General features: G+C 38.8%; 1 protein-coding gene across 12 annotated transcripts in view, besides 1 other annotated feature; it reads left to right on the forward strand.

Annotated features, from left to right (window-relative positions):
* The window catches only part of DYNC1I2 (dynein cytoplasmic 1 intermediate chain 2), a 62,690-nt gene continuing 56,643 nt past the window's right edge, over positions 11,573-17,619 (forward strand). For 6 of the 12 annotated variants that reach the window (NM_001378.3, NM_001271786.2, NM_001320882.2 and 3 more), the window contains exons 1-3: positions 11,573-11,731; positions 14,251-14,367; positions 16,881-16,998. In NM_001378.3, the coding sequence (NP_001369.1) occupies positions 14,260-14,367; positions 16,881-16,998 (226 nt within the window). In that variant the 5' untranslated portion in view covers positions 11,573-11,731; positions 14,251-14,259. Of the gene's footprint in view, positions 11,732-11,858; positions 11,978-14,250; positions 14,368-16,880; positions 16,999-17,619 lie in introns of those variants that run through there. The other 6 variants (NM_001271785.2, NM_001271787.2, NM_001320883.2 and 3 more) reach the window with 1 other exon arrangement.
* Positions 11,574-11,743: an enhancer, noted in NCBI's record as "active region_16759". NCBI's record gives its function as "activates an Ori minimal core promoter by ATAC-STARR-seq in GM12878 lymphoblastoid cells {active_cell/tissue: GM12878}" and the evidence as "EXISTENCE:reporter gene assay evidence [ECO:0000049][PMID:35858748]".

Consider the following 17,619-nt stretch of genomic DNA (forward strand, 5'->3'; position numbering starts at 1 on the left):
TACCACAGTCACTACCACTAAAACAATTTCTCTGCTCTGCTTCTGAGTAGCACTAGTTCTTGATTCACTGACTTGGGCAGGTGACTCTGATCCAAGCCTGGCTCACGTGCTCATACCCTAACTGCTAGGAAGGCTAGGAAAGTCAGTAAATGGGCTTTGGAGAAGCCCGCCTCCTACCAAGACTCACATAGTGGAAAGTCCTCACACACAAGAAAAGAATTCAGATGCTAGGCAGCCAAAAAATTCCACTCCTCTATTCTTTCCTTGCTTGCCTTTTCAAGACTGACCTCTTTACAATCCGGGTCTTTGTTGAACTAACACCTCAAAGAGGCCTTCCCTTGACCACCTTATCTTAAAAGATCTTCAGTCTGTTATTATCTGCACCTGGTTTGTTCCTTCACAGCACGTATCATAGTCGATAATTATAGTCCCCAGGGCAAATTAACCCTCCTTGGATTATCCTAATTTGCGTGTATTATCTATTTCAGCCTACTGGCTCTGCTTTAGTCAGCGAAAGTAAACTAGTATATGAATTTCTATGTTCAATTGTTTCTATCTTCAAATTGTATTCATAGAAAATTTCTTTGTTTCTAAATCCATTTAATAAATGGTGAACCGAGGCGGGTGGATCACGAGGTCAGGAGATCGAGACCATCCTGGCTAACATGGTGAAACCCCGTCTCTACTAAAAATACAAAAAAATTAGCCGGGCATGGTAGCGGGCGCCTGTAGTCCCAGCTACTCGGGAGGCTGAGGCAGGAGAATGGCGTGAACCTGGGAGGCGGAGCTTGCAGTGAGCCAAGATCGCGTCACTGCACTCCAGCCTGGGCAAGAGCGAGACTCTGTCTCAAAATAAATAAATAAATAAATAAATAAATAAATAAATAAATAAATAAATGGTGAAACAAATTCTTATGCTGCTCAGAACTCTTATGTGTCCCATACCCTAAATTAGGCATGGAATCCTACTGCTTCTCCTTGTAAATATTCCTCAAATCTATTCCCAATTCTCTCATTGTCTTCTTTTATCTCATTGTTTCTCACTTAAATTATTAATTGGTCTCCCTACCTCTGGTCTAGATTCCCCACTCATCCATCTTCTATACAACTACCAAAAATATATTTTTTCAATTTTTTACTTTTACTTTTTAATTTTGTAGGTACATAGTAGGTATATTTATTTATGGGGTACACAAGATATTTTGATACAGTCACGCAATGTATAATTATTACATCAGGGTAAATGGTAACCTCAACCATTTATCCTTTGTGTTATAAAACAATCCAATTTATACTCTTTTAGTCATTTTTAAATGTACAATTAAATTATTTTTTACTACAGTCACCCCGTTGTGCTATCAAATGCTAGTTCTTTTCATTCTTTTTAACCATTTTTTTAATACCCATTAACCATTCCCACCTCTCCCCTACCCTCCCACAACCCTTCCTAGCCTCCGGTAATAATTCTATTCTCTATCTCCATGAGTTCAATTGTTTTGATTTTTAGATCCCACAAATAAGCGAGAACATGCGATGTTTGTCTTTCTATGCCTGGGTTATTTCACTTAACATAATGACCTCCAGTTCCATCCATGTTGTTGCAAATGACAGGATCTCATTCTTTTTTATGGCTGAATTGTATTTCATTGAGTATAAGTACCACATTTTTATCCATTCATCTGTTGGTTGATTCCAAATCTTAGCTTTTGTGAATAGCGCTACAGTAAACGTGAGAGAACAGATATCACAAACATTCCTATACACGAACAACAGACAAGCAGAGAGCCAAATCATGAATGAAATCCCATTCACAATTGCCACAAAGAGAATAAAATACCTAGGAATACAGCTAACAAGGGAAATGAAGGACCTCTTCAAGGAGAACTACAAACCACTGCTCAAGGAAATCAGAGAGAACACAAACAGATGGAAAAACAATCCATGTAGATTCTAATATCCAGAATCTACAAGAAACAAACCTGCACATCCTGCACATATACACTAGAAATTTAAAATAAAATAATTAAATTTTGATCTTTATGCCCAAATTGTGTCATTGATCATTAGTGCTCAACACTATAGTTGAATACAATAGTTCGACTGTTAATATTTGTTGTTATAGTATCATAAGTATTATACTTGGGATGCCCTATAACCTGTCAACAGGACAAAGAAATAAATCCAAAGGAATCAAATTTTTTAAAATACCACTTTCTCTTGGCTTTTTTGTTTTGTTTTGTTTGGGAGACAGGGTTTCGCTCTGTGGCCCAGGCTAGAGTGCAGTGGTACAATCTCGGCCCACTGCAACCTCCACCTCCCGGGTTCAAATGATTCTCCTGCCTCAGTCTCCCGAGTAGCTGGGACTACAGGCACACGCCACCACATCCAGCTAATTTATTGTACTTTTTAGTAGAGACAGGGTTTTGCCATGTTGGCCAGGTTGGCCTCAAACTCCTGACCTCAAGTGATCCGCCCAATTCAGCCTCCCAAAGTGCTGGGATTACAGGCATGAACCACTGCACCCAGCCACTCTTGGCTTTTCTTCTACCTACTTTTCTCCATTACTTTTTTAATATTCACTTCTTCTCACCTATTCCTTGAATGCTGGTGTTCTCCAGGATTCCAAAGAGTTATCTTCTCCTCTTTTTATGTACATAATCCCAAATCATTGTTATTCATATCCATCTCCAACTATTATTTATCCATATGTATATGACTCTCAAATCTACATTTCCAGCCCAGCATCTCTCTTGAACTCCAGATCCATATATGCACCTTCCTACTGTATATCCGCAACTTAATGTCCACTAGCAACTAAAGTCAAACATTTCTCAAACCAAGTCACTATTTTTCCTTTCCTTGTATATTCTCTAATGGCATCCAGTAAGCCAAGATATTGTCTTCTATTGGAGAAGCACTTCCTCTTTCCTTATCTTAGGTTTTTTTGTAGTGGGATCTTTCCAGAGTACCACCCTTGGCCTCTCTCCATCCCCTCCCTTACTCCTCCCTGCAGGAGGAGGAGAGAATTATCTCATTAGTGAATTTGGGAGAAAAAACCTTAGTACATGCAGCTTCCTACTTTCTCTCTACTTTATTATTTCCTTTGGCATCTGTGCACCTAAAGAAAGTGCCCATGCATTGCTGTCTGTTCTCTGCTATGGGTTTCATACAAGCAGGCCCTCCAAGGAGAACTGCCTGAGTTACTTGTCCCTGCCTCTGTCTCTCTGTCTCTGTCTCTTTCTCTCTCTCAAATAGTTCTAAATTTGGCTAGAGAAAATGCAGTGTTACATATGTACCCCATCAAATACAATGCCTTTAAAGAATTCTAAAGTCCTTCATCTCCCTCTACTTCCTTATGTCTAATCAGTTCACAATAAAGGGCAGTGCTGGATCATTGCTCAGGGGGCCCAATTAAAGGATTCTAACTATTATTAGAATTAATTAGAAACATGGTGCCAATTAACTCAGGGTTTCCCATGCAACTTCTTATGAGTGGCAAAATGTACATTGGTCTCATTCCTGGAAAATATTGTCCTTGAATAGTAACAAACAAAACACACACACACACACACACACACACACACACACACACACACACACTCCTTACAGGCATTGTTCCAATCCCCATTGAGTGTTTTGTGACATGTAGCTACCTTGAGATGAGCTATTATTTACCTGAAGCCAGTAGCTCCAGTCAGCTGAAACTGAAAACTTAACAATGTATGGTTGCCTACCGGGAACAAAGTGCTTACTTCTCAGAATTAAACCACCTGTAACATGTCATCTGATACCTTCCCTTTGCCCCTCCAGATGCACTTTCACCCTTCTCCACCCTGATTTCGGCCTCAGGAGGCTGACCTGGGTGAATGGTCTCCTGTGCCTACTGGCTTCCAGTAGGGTTTGGCCAACGGGAAGCCCCAGGAGGAGATCAGAGTGACATCAGGGTCACTTATTTCCTTGGTTTCCTCCCTATGAGGTCACCTTGAGCTGCCTGGGCTCAAGATACCTCACCCTGTAAAATGTTCTTGAGTCAGGTTTCTGTTACTCTCTCTCCCTTTCTTCAGGCCTTGTGGGTGTTGACGCCCCTGCAGCTATGGGCTCTGAGCTCGTTCCCGCAGTATCACTTGTGGTTCTCTCACACCCTCTCATACCTGAGAGTACTAGTATTTTTCTATGATTTCAATGAGTTTTGGGAATGTCAACATTTATTTATTTATTTATTTATTTATTTGAGATGAGATCTCACTATGTTGCCCAGGCTGGTATTGAACTCGTGAGCTCAAGTGATCCTCTCGCCTCGGCCTCCCAAAGTGCTAGGATTACAGGCATGAGCCACCACACTCGGCCCCTCAAAAATAATTTATAAGTAGCATCTTTATTAATTCAAATGTTTTGCTACAGAGCTGCTTGAAAACAATATATTGAACATCACTCCTAGTTTTCCTTGTTTACTTTGTTACAATGAGAAAAGCAAGATTACAGTTTGTGATGTCTTAACTGTTAGAATCTAAATCTGTAAGGTCCAAAGTAACAAATACGATTATAATTACTTAGTTATTCAACCAAAATTAATGACTGTTTCTCGTATACCCCACATGGGCTAGATACTATTCTCAAGGCTGAGGAAACAGTGTAGGCCAAGCAAGATGACGCATTTGCCCTCTTGCAATTTACTGTCCTAATCCAGGTACCTTGGTAATCTAGTATATACCCGAGAATAGCCAAATATTAATACATGGCACAAACATTGTTCTTTTGAAACTGTGAAATTATTCAGAGAAAAACATCTTAAGCAATAAATTAAAATGATAAGGGAGCTGTTAATGACACACTTACAGATAGCATCCAGAGATAGCTATGTGACGACCTCTCTGGCTGCAAAGTCCCAGAAGCTGGAAGCTGGGACCACCCAACTCCCATCTGCTCCTGCATTCCTACTCCAGACTCTGGGCTTAATTTGGCTCCCAGGCCAGGGAAATGTAAGGACTATGGGATCCAGAGCTTTGTGGCTCTGCGTTAATAAAAGTGTTTACTGTTGGCCCAGTTGTGACCTTTTATCTTGTAGCAAGTGACCATTTAGGCCATATGTCACCAAGTCCTGCTTGCCATCCCAGTTCCAGGAATATATCCCCCATCTTACGTCTCCACCCCTGGCATTCGCTCGTTACTGCTTCGTTTTCCCACTAATCTGTTAGTTATCTGAGCTTGGGACTATCTTGCCTGAATTTCCGCACTGCCAGTCCTGTGGCTGGATTCTCCCTTCCTGCGCTCACACTTCTCTCAGGAAGACCATCTGCCTAGATCTGATGCTAGATTCATGCTTGCTACAGCCTGCCCACTCACACCACAAATGTCTTCCTGTTGCCTCCAGAAAATATGTAGGAGATGGAATCAACAAATGTGGGGGATATGAAATCTGAAATAGGATGATTTTGAAGATTGTGGCTTGGTTGAGTGAAGGAATGATGGTTTCATCAGTGAGGTTGGAAACAGGGGAGGAGGAGCAGGCTTGCTAGGAAAGGTGACAGTTCAGTTTTAGACATGTAGAATGTGAGGTGCCTGCAGGATCTCCAGGAGATATCCAGTGGAGAGTTGGATGCACGGCTTGGGAACTCAGGAAATGGTGTTACATTTGCACAAATATTTCTGTGCGCACACACACACACATATTCAGGCATATCCACAAACAACATTTTAAAAACTAAAATTCTGGCCAGGTGCGGTGGCTCACGCCTGTAATCCCAGCGCTTTGGGAGTCCGAGGTGGGCGGATCATGAGGTCAGGAGATCGAGACCATCCTGGCTAACATGGTGAAACCCCATCTCTACTAAAAATACAAAAAAAAATTAGCCAGGCGTGATGGCAGGTGCCTGTAGTCCCAGCTACTCGGGAGGCTGAGGCAGGAGAATGGCGTAAACCCGGGAGGCGGAGCTTGCATTGAGCTGAGATGGCGCCACTGCACTCCAGCCTGGGTGACAGAGCGAGACTCCATCTCAAAAACAAAACAAAACAAAATGAAAACCTAAAATTCTGCCAGTGATCAAGATTTCTATATTTCTATACTTACATACAGCTGGAAAGACCACTGAGCAAACCACAGTTCTTTTCTCATTACGTAAATCTGTGCATGTTGTTAATCAACAGTTCTTCAGAATTAGAAGCTCATTTCAACATTAATGTGGAAAGTCTTAACCACCCTTAAATTTGTCTAAAGTCAGTAAGGTCAAATGTTGAATAAATATTCAATGAGGAGTATTACAGGTCAATGCTTCTAGCCTGAAAATTAATCAATCTGGGTCTGGTTTGGGCTTTACATAGGGTTTGTGGTTGTTTAAATATATTCTACCTGCCAATTAGCAATTTTTATTTTACACTCCCACATTCAAAAGATGATATATTGAATAGTCAAGAGGAATTAAAAATATAATACAATATTTTATTCTACCATAAGAAACTAAATCAATACAAGAAACTCTGGTGAAGAAAGTGTATGCCCCTACCACATTTTGGGGGTATACGCTCCTTTAACGGGGCACTCATAATTCCTGTTATAGTTAATGGGAGCTGCGTGTGTGTTATCAAGGGCACAGGCTCACTGTCTCTAACAGAAAATGATTCCTTTTGTGTTGATCTCCTAGCTGTGTTTTCATTCTACCTTTTAAAACCATTACACCTAACAGAGTTTTTTTGAGTGCATTATCAGTAACTTTAAGAAGCCATCATTATCTCCTCTCTCTTAACCACATAATAGGGGGTAGGAAAGTGAGAGTGCAGTATATACACCATGCTGAGTAGAAGGAACTTGCCTTGAATTTTTGAGCCCCTCAGCCTATTTTCTGTAATGCTCAGTGGCGAATCACTCTTAAGTGCTCCATCATTCACTAGGATATGTGCTTCATGCCAAAGGTTACCAGATTACAAAAGTATTCTAGGCTCAGAAGGGACTCATAATTCACCATCACCTTATTTTGACACTAACAGAGAAAATATGTGCATCAAGACAAGTAGAGGAAATAATGAAAAAAAAAACCTATATTAAGTTAACAATGCAGCAAACACTCCAAAGGGAAAAATACAGACTAGAACAATAATAAGGATAATAGAAAAGTAATGCTGTTAAATTATCAGAGACCTGCTGGTCAGCTCATGAACACTCCCCTGAGTGAAGATAGTTTCCTAAAGAGCTTCTCTTAGACATGAGAGCAAATGGGAAAGTTAAGAGAGTTTCCAAAGTTGGAAGAAAATATTTTCTCATGCCAATGTTTCTAAGAGTCAAATACATTTACTGAAGGTGAAGTGGAAATATTTAGAAAAAAATTAAAAACACAAGTGACTCAGGAAGAGCTGTTAACATGTGAAGAATGAACAATCTCAAGATTCCACAGGCAATCTGGTAGAAACCTCATGAACTTAACCAAAGTGAAATCTTAGAGGACCTCTGATTAAAATGTGGAAAAAATAATAACAATCCAATATTTATGAAAAGGTCCTGGAAAATGTTCTTTGCATGGTAAGAAGGTCACACAAATGTATGTATTAGATTTTATACATGTCATTTTAGCAAAGTTATAAACCAATCAAGTGACATTTACGCAAGAGCATTAAAAATATAATTACTAGAAAGCTTCATGCATTGCTATGGGGCCACAGCTTTCTTTTCACAACATAATTTCATTAAAAACTTGTATGATGAGGATGTATATAACAAGGTTGTCAACAAATGGCTATAAATGTTCTAGCTGATTACTTGGGACTTACTAGAGTTCCTGGAATATTTTGAGATGCCTGAACTGCTGGGTAGCAGAATACATTTTTAACCCCTTCAAATTCCTTCCTCTTCCAATTTGGTGTCTGCTACATCTTTTTGATGTTTTATACATTTGTTTAAGTCCCATGGTTTAATAGCTACTTTTTTCTTAACTATTTTTTGAATATAACATACATACAATAAAAAGGACCCATGTTAAGAGTAGAGGTCAATGAATGTTTTACAGATATGTAAATGTGTGTAACCCCCACCAGATGAAGAAATGAAACATTCCCAGCACCGCAGAAACCTCCCCATATCCCTTGCCATCAATATCCCTATACCTCAATAGCCACTATTCTGACATTTCATTAGATTAGTTTTACCTTCTTTTGCATTCTATATAAATGAAATCCTGCATTATGTCAATATATTAATTGTATTAAAATTTTGCAAACATTGGCATATTGAATTCAAGTGTAAATCCAGATATGAGTTTGTTCAACAAATTCATCTGTATATATTATATTTCTACCCTCTCCTACAAACCATTATAAGAAGTTTTAAAATGCAAATTCTCCCCTTCGAAAACACCCTGCAGCACTAATGCTTATTAGGACTCCTCCCCAGCCCTTCCAACTTAAAAAGTAGGAAGACATAGTGGTTTGAACTATGTAATGTCCAGGGTACAGTCTTTCTAATCAGTGCTGCTAATGCATTTCTTCAAAAAAGTGTTAAAAATAAAACAACAAAAAAGTGGGGGGTTTTTTAGTTACGTATTTCATATCTTAAAACATTTTTTTAAATTTTATTTATTTATTTAAGCAATAGGATGTCACTCTGTCACCCAGGCTGGAGTGCAATGGTGTGATTATAGTTCACTGCAGCCTCAAATTCCTGGATTCAAGCAAACCTCCCGCCCTTAGCCTCCCAAGTCGCTGGGCCTACAGGTGAGTACCATCATATTTAGCTAATTTTAAAATTTTTTACAGAAATGGGGTTTTGCCATCTTGCCCAGGCTGGTCTCGAACTCCTGGGCTCAAGTGATCCTCCCACCTTGGCCTCCCAAAGTGCTGGGATTATAGGCATGAGCCACTGTACCCACTCAAAAGCTACATTATCCAGCCAGTATATTGAGTGGTTTTCAGTGGGAAGAGGTATCTAGTCTGCTTTATTGCTGTAGAAGTCTCACATAATGTTAACATTTCTCCAATCCATCTACTTTTCTTAATTCTCACTGATGATGCATCAGTTCATGCATTTATAATTGCTGGCTCTACCCAAATTCTTCCAGTTGCATTCCCTGCTTCCAGTCTCTACCTTACCTCTTTCTCCACCTCTCATCCCTCTAGGCAAGCTGTATCAACAAGGGTCTCAACAAGAAACAGAATTCACAAGATAGTTCACATGAAAATACTTTAATGAAAGGACAAGTTACAGAGGGGTGAGCGGGTATTAAGGGAACAAACGAGATGATGAGGCACTCAGAGACTAGCTACAGAGGAGGTGTTCAAGAGATAAAAGGAGAACATAAAATCACCAGACAGCCCGGGGAAAACTAGAGCCATGGTGAAAGAGCCATCTGGCAGGTACTGTAGTCATGAAGGAATGAAGCTATTGCTGGACATCTGACACTCAAAGAAGGAAGGAGCAAGGAAGAGATGCCCCAATTTCCCTTTCTACCCACCTTCTGATATCCTTGCCTTGGCCTTCTTTATGTCCAACCACAAAGCAGTCCTTAAAGAAACTGAGGTCAACCCTCAGAGGCATAGAGCTTAGCAAAGAAGGGCAGGAAATGAATCTGGGGGGCAAAGAAAATAACCAGCACATTAGTCTTTCTCCGGACTACTTTGAAAGGCCAGTCATCTAAAATGCAAACCTTCTCATACCTTGCACCCTCTTAAAATCTACCAGTGGATTCACATCATCTGTAGGACTAAATCTAAACTGGGATGTGCGACTTTGCCCCTGCTTATGGCTTCATTCCCCAGTTCCTGTCTTAGCCTACGGCCATTGTGAATTATTTCCAAATTCACCAGCATTCTATGCTCTCACACCTCTGTCCTTTGTCCATATTCTTTTCTCTTCCCAAGGCACCTTTCTGCATCTTCTCTGCTTGGCTAACTTCTTCTACTCAACCTTTGAGAATCAAAGACTTAGCTCTAGAATCACCTCCTTCCAAAAGTTTCCTGAAAAGTTTTTCCAGGTGTTTCTATGACTTCCTTATATAATTCCATCATTATACAGATGCTCCTTGAGTTATGTCCTGATAAACCCATTTTAAGTCAAAAATATATGTTGAAAATGCATTTTACTCTAATAAGCCCATTGTAATGAGAAAAAAATCATAAGTTAAACCATCAGTCAGGAACCATCCATTCTTAGTTGAGCGAGTGTCCTTTCTCCCTTGAGAAGAAGGATGTGCATTTTTGTGCATTTTTATGTTTTTTGTTTTTTTTGTTTCTTTTTCTTTTTTTTTTTTTTGAGGCAGGGTCTTGCTCTGTCTCCCAGGCTGGAATGCAATTGTGTAATCTCAGCTCACTATAACCTCCGCCTCCTGGGCGCAAGCCATCCTCCTGCCTCAGCCTCGTGACTAGCTAGGACTACAGGCGCATGCCACACACCCTGCTAATTTTTCTATTTTTTGTAGAGACGGGGTTTCACCATGTTGCCCAGGCTGGTCTCTAAGTCCTGAGCTCAGGTGATCTGCCTGCCTCGGCCTCCCAAAGTGCTGGGATTACAGGTGTGAGCCACTGCGCCTGGTCCATTTTAGCTGTTACCACAACACCCATCACCATTGCTGGCACATGGTAGGCAATCAATAATAATTTTTTTTCAAATTAATACATGAAAACTATTAGGAAAGAAGTAAAAAAATAACATAGCTATAAAGCTCTTTGAATGTTAGGTTATTGGGAAAAGCTGTGGAAAGCCAAGGATTTTCTTTCTCAAATTTATTTTTAGAATATTTTTTTCTACACAAAAGACCACAGATAAGGCAGAGAAAGATAAGAAAAAGACCACAAGCCCAAGGACTTGGAATTTGAATCATAAAGGTTCATTCTAGACTTGGGCAATATCTAGAACTTCTAGAACAATCAGTTTTCTAGAACATAGAAAAGATATTACCTTGGTGTTAGCTTTAACTCCTGCCAAATAATGCTTTAAATTATTTAAACTTTAAAAAGGTGTGTCAATGTATACATTGCAGGTAAATTCATGTTCCAGTAACTTTTGTTTTCTTTGTATGTTAAAAATCTAACTGTGGAAAACATTCTAGCTTGGTTTGAGAGTCCAATAATACAAAATGCTTTATTTCCTAAAATTGTTTGAGAGAAAACCAAAATGCTACCACACTGCAACAAAATACTAAAGAATTATTTGCTATGTCAGTTGACATATTTTTATTTAGATTTTGCCTAAGATGCCACATGAAGCCTATATAAGACATTCTTTCCCTAAAACTTACATATGTATGTACATATATATATATAATGTTTTACATCCTAAACAGTCTACTTCACGTCTTCACCAAATGTGCAGCAGCGTGATTCACAGGTTCACCACTGGAAAATAGACCTTAAAATTCCGCCAATATTGGGTCAAAGATCTTACACTATAACACATACTACACTGTGGGCACGGATCAACAGACGAGAATACTTTATACAGAAGCTTCTCGACGGAAGAAGGCCTTGGAGTGGGAAATCTAAAGGAGGGGACACACTACATGTCCCAGCACACCTTGCGACGCCCAGCGACCACAATTCCCAGAACGCACTGCTCGTCGCACGCAGGTTTTCCTTGTTGCCGGGGTTTGTAGTTCTTCTCGATCGTGTCAGTTTGTAAGGCGAGGGCGGAAGTTGGATTCCTGGCCTGAGAATATTAGGCGTAGTTTTCCAGTTTTTGGCAAAGCGGAAATACTTAAGGCCCCTGGGTTGACTGGGTTCTTTGTTTTATCTACCGGCTTCTGCTTTACGACAGGTAAGTCACGGAGGGGCTACAATTCCTCGCAGCAGGGCCCCACCTTTTATTTCTGGGAGCGACCTCGTTCTGGTGAGGCTATTTGTCCCTAAGCTCTCGCCGTAGCAGCCGCCGCCCATCCCTCTTTGTGTGCTTTGGAAAGCCGCGGAGCTGGTGGTGGCTACAGTTGGTGTTGGGGGCTTAGGCGAGGGACGTTACCGGGAAGTTGCAGGCGGGAGGACTCTTCCCCATCCAGTCACCTGACAGGTGGGTTGACTGTTCTTCCCTCAAGGCCTCCCTGCCTGTGTTCCACGTCGCAACTCGAAGGGCGGCTTGGCAGTTCCTGCTGACATCCCCGCCCGGCCCAGCTTTGGGGAGGAAAGGCGGGGAGACCTGGGTGCGGTGACTCATTGCGGCCCGGCGAGAGGAGTCCACTCCTTTCCCTTCTCGACCCTCCAGAGGCGGCCTGGGGAGCCTTGAGGCTTGTCCGGCGCCCACTGGCTTCTTCCGGACGCCCTGCCGTGGACCGCGCCCTCTTGGCCGTGACCCCAGGGGAGAAAGTGATTCGTTTTCGCCTTGCCCCATTTTACAAATTAAGGCCATCTCTACTTGCCTTGATAGTGTCTCCCCTCACCTTATGTGTGATGGAAAGCCCCCGAACACGGAGGTTCTAGCACAAAACTCTAGAGACTCTCTTCTCTTGAGTTTTAAGAACGTGAACATGTCGGTCATGGAGGAAGGCTCTGGCTTCTGTGAGGATGAGAGGATTGGTCAGCTGTAGTTCAGCTGGTCAAGACTTTGTTGTTGGGCTTTAAAAATGCGCTTATTTTAATATCAATTAGTGTTGGTATATCTGTTTTACAGTTGACGTTGAACAAAATATAATGTGCCTAGCGTAGCATACAGTTACGTATGGAAGTTCTCTTCACCAGCCGTTTGTATGGAGCTGTTTAGAGGTGTAGAAAGAGTGGAATAAGAAACACGGTCTCTTGCTTTTAGTTTGTTCAAACAAATCTTGGAAGATATTGTGTATATATTTCAGGTCTGCTATGTCAACTTTTCATCCTTTTCGTATGCTTGAAAATTATCAATTCGCTTGCCAGTCTTAATGGAGTTTAGTAGCTGAAATTTCCTTTATCCACTTCTTAGTAGGTGAATTTCTCCTCTTGACTGACTTACCTTTGTTCAGATTTAACAATTGTGCTTTTTAAGAGATTTCCCCTAACCTCTGGAAATACAGTTTTCCAGAGGTTATTCTCCTAGTTTTCTTGATCTAAAGCATTTAATACTTCACTTGTACAGAGACATTGAAAGAGATTGATCATTAGGCAATAAGTCAATCATGTGGAGAAGGTAAGGAGTTCCTGGCTCCTGCCTTATGCTCAGCTGCTAGGCTACTTAAAAAAAAAAAATCCTAATTCATTATTTCTTCCTAAAACTCAAGCTGAAGTAGTGTTTATGCAATTGGTTTTTGAAGCTCAGATTGTAATTGTGTCTACCGTATCCATTATTCATTAGCCAGTGTCAATTGTAATGTTAAGGTCATTCTGCTGGATGTTGTGAAGGCAACAAAAATAACTAAAAAACAGTCCCTGATTTCAAGTACATTACAATCTAATAGGGAACATTTCAGGTATGTCCACAAATAATTGTACTAAAAGTGCCATCAGAGGTATACGTAAGGTGTTATTGTGGAGAAATACAGTCATATGATTTGATAGCTAATGATGGTAACTCCTGCGTTTTGCTTTAGTATTACTACAGCACTTTTAGAACTTACAGGAAAGTTCAGTTTGACCTATTGTTTTTTATCAAGTTTCTATGAATGCAATAGAATTGGTAATAGTTTTGATCTGTGTCATATAGCTTAAGAGCTTCTAAATGCCAAACCATGTCCTCTGTTTTAAGAGCCAGTTTTGACCTTTATCTTGGGTACCTAATATATTGTCATCAAAAACTTTGAGACATTGTGTTCAGTTTGTGTATGCGAACATTAAAGTGCTTACTATGGGCTAGCTACTATGCTCAGCTCTAGGTAATATTTATTATATATATTTGTTTATACATTTTTTAAGTCTTAGTAATAATATATATGCTTCCTTTATTTTATCTTTTAAAAGTTTATTTTTTAGAGACGCTCTGTTGCCCAAGCTGGAGTGCAGTGGCATGATCACGGCTCACTGCAGCCTTGACTTCCTGGGCTCCAGCAATCCTTCCAAGTAGTTGGGACTACAGGCACATGCCACCATGCCGCCTAATTTTTTATTTTTCTTGCCTTTTTTTTTTTTTTTTTTTTTTTTGTAGAGATGGGGTCTTGCTTTGTTGCCCAGGCTGGTCTCAAACTCATGGCCTGAAGCAGTTCTCCCACTTTAGCCTCCCAAAGTAAGCTACTGCCCAGCCCCATTATTTTAAAAGTAAGGTTTTTGTGCTTTTTTGAGATAGCATTGAACTATATGGCCTTTCGGGACAGTTCTCTTCTTGGAACACTAGTTTTTTCAACTGTGCTGCTTTTACTAACATAATGATTATATGTTTCTAAGGTCACAAACATGTCAGACAAAAGTGAATTAAAGGCTGAGTTGGAACGTAAGAAGCAGCGACTGGCCCAAATCAGAGAGGAAAAGAAGAGAAAAGAAGAAGAAAGGAAAAAAAAAGAAGTATGTTTGATTTTTTTGCTTAAATAAACAACATAAAGTAATTGGGTTTTATTTCACATATTTATATATTTACATATAGGTTGGTGCAAAAGTAATCGTGGTTAAAAGTAATGGCAAAAATTATGATTGCTTTTGCACAAACCTAATAATTTCAGGATAGTTAAAAATCTAGCAGTTCTGACTGCAGACATAACACTGTAAGTGAATCTTACTTTAAAGAAGCAAGATATGTGAAAATGACAAAACTGATAAAATATGATTTTTAAAAACAATTTCGTATAGATTGATGCATTTCTAAAATTTGATTTATTAAAGTTCAATTTACAATTTAGTCTCCTAGGAATATATTTATTATAAAGTAAGGCGCATCTGTATTTTTTTTTGTTTTGGGTTTTTTTTTTTTTTTTTGAGACTGGGTCTCACTGTGTCACTCGGACTGGAGTGCAGTGGTTTGAGCACAACTCACTGCAGCCTCAACCTCCCCTGACTCAGGTGATCCTTCCACTTCAGCCTCTGGAGTAGCTGGGCCTACAGGCACATGTCACTATGCTAGGCTAATTTTTGTATTTTTTTGTAGAGACGAGGTTTTGCCATGTTACCCAGGCTGGTCTCGAACTCCTGAACTCAAACAGTCCTCCTGCCTAGGCTTCCCGAAGTGTTGGGATTACAGGCACGAGCCACCACACTCAGTCAAGATGTCTATATTATAATAACTCATAAATATGGTGTATATATATCATAACTTAGTTTGGACTTTGAATTTATCTGAATATTTTGCTAGTCTGAATTGCTAATTTGTCAGAATGGATAATATTAATGGCAAATAAAATATATGTAATAGATGATTTAATTGACTAAGGGATTTGTTCTTATCTCTTATGAGTTAGTCATTGAAATATTTTTACTGAGTAGTAGGTTTGATGGTACCATAAAGGTGGACCAGGTACTTCTTTTGATTTTTTGTATCAAAAATATGCATCACATTATATACAGCAAATGTACATTGGCCCTGAGCTGGAGACATTTTACTTGTTCATGCATTGAAATATACTTTTATCCCTATGGAAACTCTTTAGACATATCAGTGTACTTTTACTACAGATATGTTTTAAATACCTAGTGTAAGGTAGTTTTTCTTGTGTGTCTTTAGGACCAAGTTTTTATATGTGGTAGCCTAAATAATGGCCAAGACTGCCAGAAATCTCTTGGGGACTAAGAGAAAAATAAGTAGTAGAAAAGTTGAAGGTACAATTTATGTGCAGCATTACTATGATGCTGTAAAGGCCTGTAATTGAAGAATTTGCTAGTTTATTCTGAACCTTTCTGTGAGACATTATAAGAGGATTGGAGCTTTACATTAGCTATTAGATTAAAAGCTGACTGGTAGAAGCATGATTCAGGTTGGCAGAGCTATTCCAAAATAATATTTATATCCCTAAACATTTCCGTGCTGAGAGCAAATTTCATTTTTGTTTTCTAATGATGGCCATAACTGGCAAAAATGGGTTCTAAGGGATATCTATTGCATGATTTATACCTAATTTAAAGCTTGTAAAACTTATTGAGTCACACAGACCAATGGGAAAAAACAAAGTTTATAAAAATGTTACAAGAGATAATACAATGGTATTAAACTGTGAGTCTATTAATATATTTTTATCAACAGTGAAGCATCAGCTTGATATTACAACCTGTTTTGTTATTTTGATTAATTTTTCTGATGACTTTTAAGTCAAAATGGCATAGAATATTATGGCTAACAAAATTCACTCCAGACAGTGTCTGAGTAATAGTTGTCTAGGTGGCATAGGGATTTGAGATTTACATAAAAAAAACTTTTCCTTGGAAAGCTTACATTTTACTTGAGAAGTCTTGGATGATCTGAGAGTATTGAGGTTTATCTAGTTTAACCAGCAGATTGTGCTAAAACGATAAATAGCCGAGATAAAAGCTGACAAAAATTTTCATAACAAAATGTTTTGTGCTATGCAAAAGTGAGTTTAATTTTACAAAACACAATCCCAAATAAAATGAAGACTTTATACAGAAGTTTGTGATACTCTTTTTCAACAAATCATATTGTCATTCACTTAAAATTTGTTACCTCTTAAATAATTACACTTTAATTTTTTCATTGTATGTGATATTGTATCTAACCTTTTGTGCCACTTGGGGGAAGTTGTCTATTATTCCTGACCATAGACAGCAATTTCATACTGTAGATAATTCGAAGTTGACTGTACTTCTTGAATTTGTCTGTTAGGAAAATTTTTGTGGAAACTCCTTGATTACATATGAAGATAGAGCAGTTTAGTACATATCATTTGAAGGTTATTTACTAGAACTCTATTGAGAATGATTTTCATTTAATGACTATAAAAAGAACTTAACCTGTACTCAAAACTAAGTTCATGCCTTAAAAGTATACAGTGTTAGCATATTATTTAAAACATTTTTGCAAACAAATTTTTCATACTATATGTAAACATAAGTTTTTAACCTAAACATTTTAGACAGACCAGAAGAAGGAAGCTGTTGCTCCTGTGCAAGAAGAATCAGATCTTGAAAAAAAAAGGAGAGAAGCTGAAGCATTGCTTCAAAGCATGGGGCTAACTCCAGAATCCCCCATTGGTAAGGTTAAGAATATATCCATTTATAAGAGATAGGCATAGATTCTGTTCAGCTCAGACATAGCTGAGTGGATTGACTTGATATATTTTACATATTTTCCTTGTGTCTCTAAAATTATTAATCTTTTATTTGGAATTGTCTTTTTTTCAGATATGCTAGTACATGGTTATTTTATTTGTTCAAAAGAGCTGCAAGAGTAATTATTAACATATACTGAACTACCAATTGACTTCTCTTATTAAATCAGTAATTTATTTCAACAAACATTGGTTAAGCAAGTTTTATGTGCCATACTGTGTTAAGCTCAAAGATAACTAGGATTCCTGATCTGAACTCTATATTCCTTTCTGGAGATTAGCGAGAGATACAATCAGACTTATATTGTTAGAATGCAAAATATATTAGTATTCAAAGGTACAGGAGTGGAAGGATAAGCTTATAGCCTTCTGCTGTTAATGCTAATAAGGGAGATAATTTTGTGGCTTATTTTCGAAGTGATTTGACTTAATCTTATTATTTTTCTGGGTTATTCATTTTGATAACTGTACTAGACCAAAAAAGCTGAAATAGTAGAGGTACACAGGACAATCTAGTTACATATCAGGAACAAATGCTTACTTA

This window comes from Homo sapiens, chromosome 2 (assembly GCF_000001405.40).
Source record: "Homo sapiens chromosome 2, GRCh38.p14 Primary Assembly".
Classification (NCBI taxonomy): domain Eukaryota; kingdom Metazoa; phylum Chordata; class Mammalia; order Primates; family Hominidae; genus Homo; species Homo sapiens.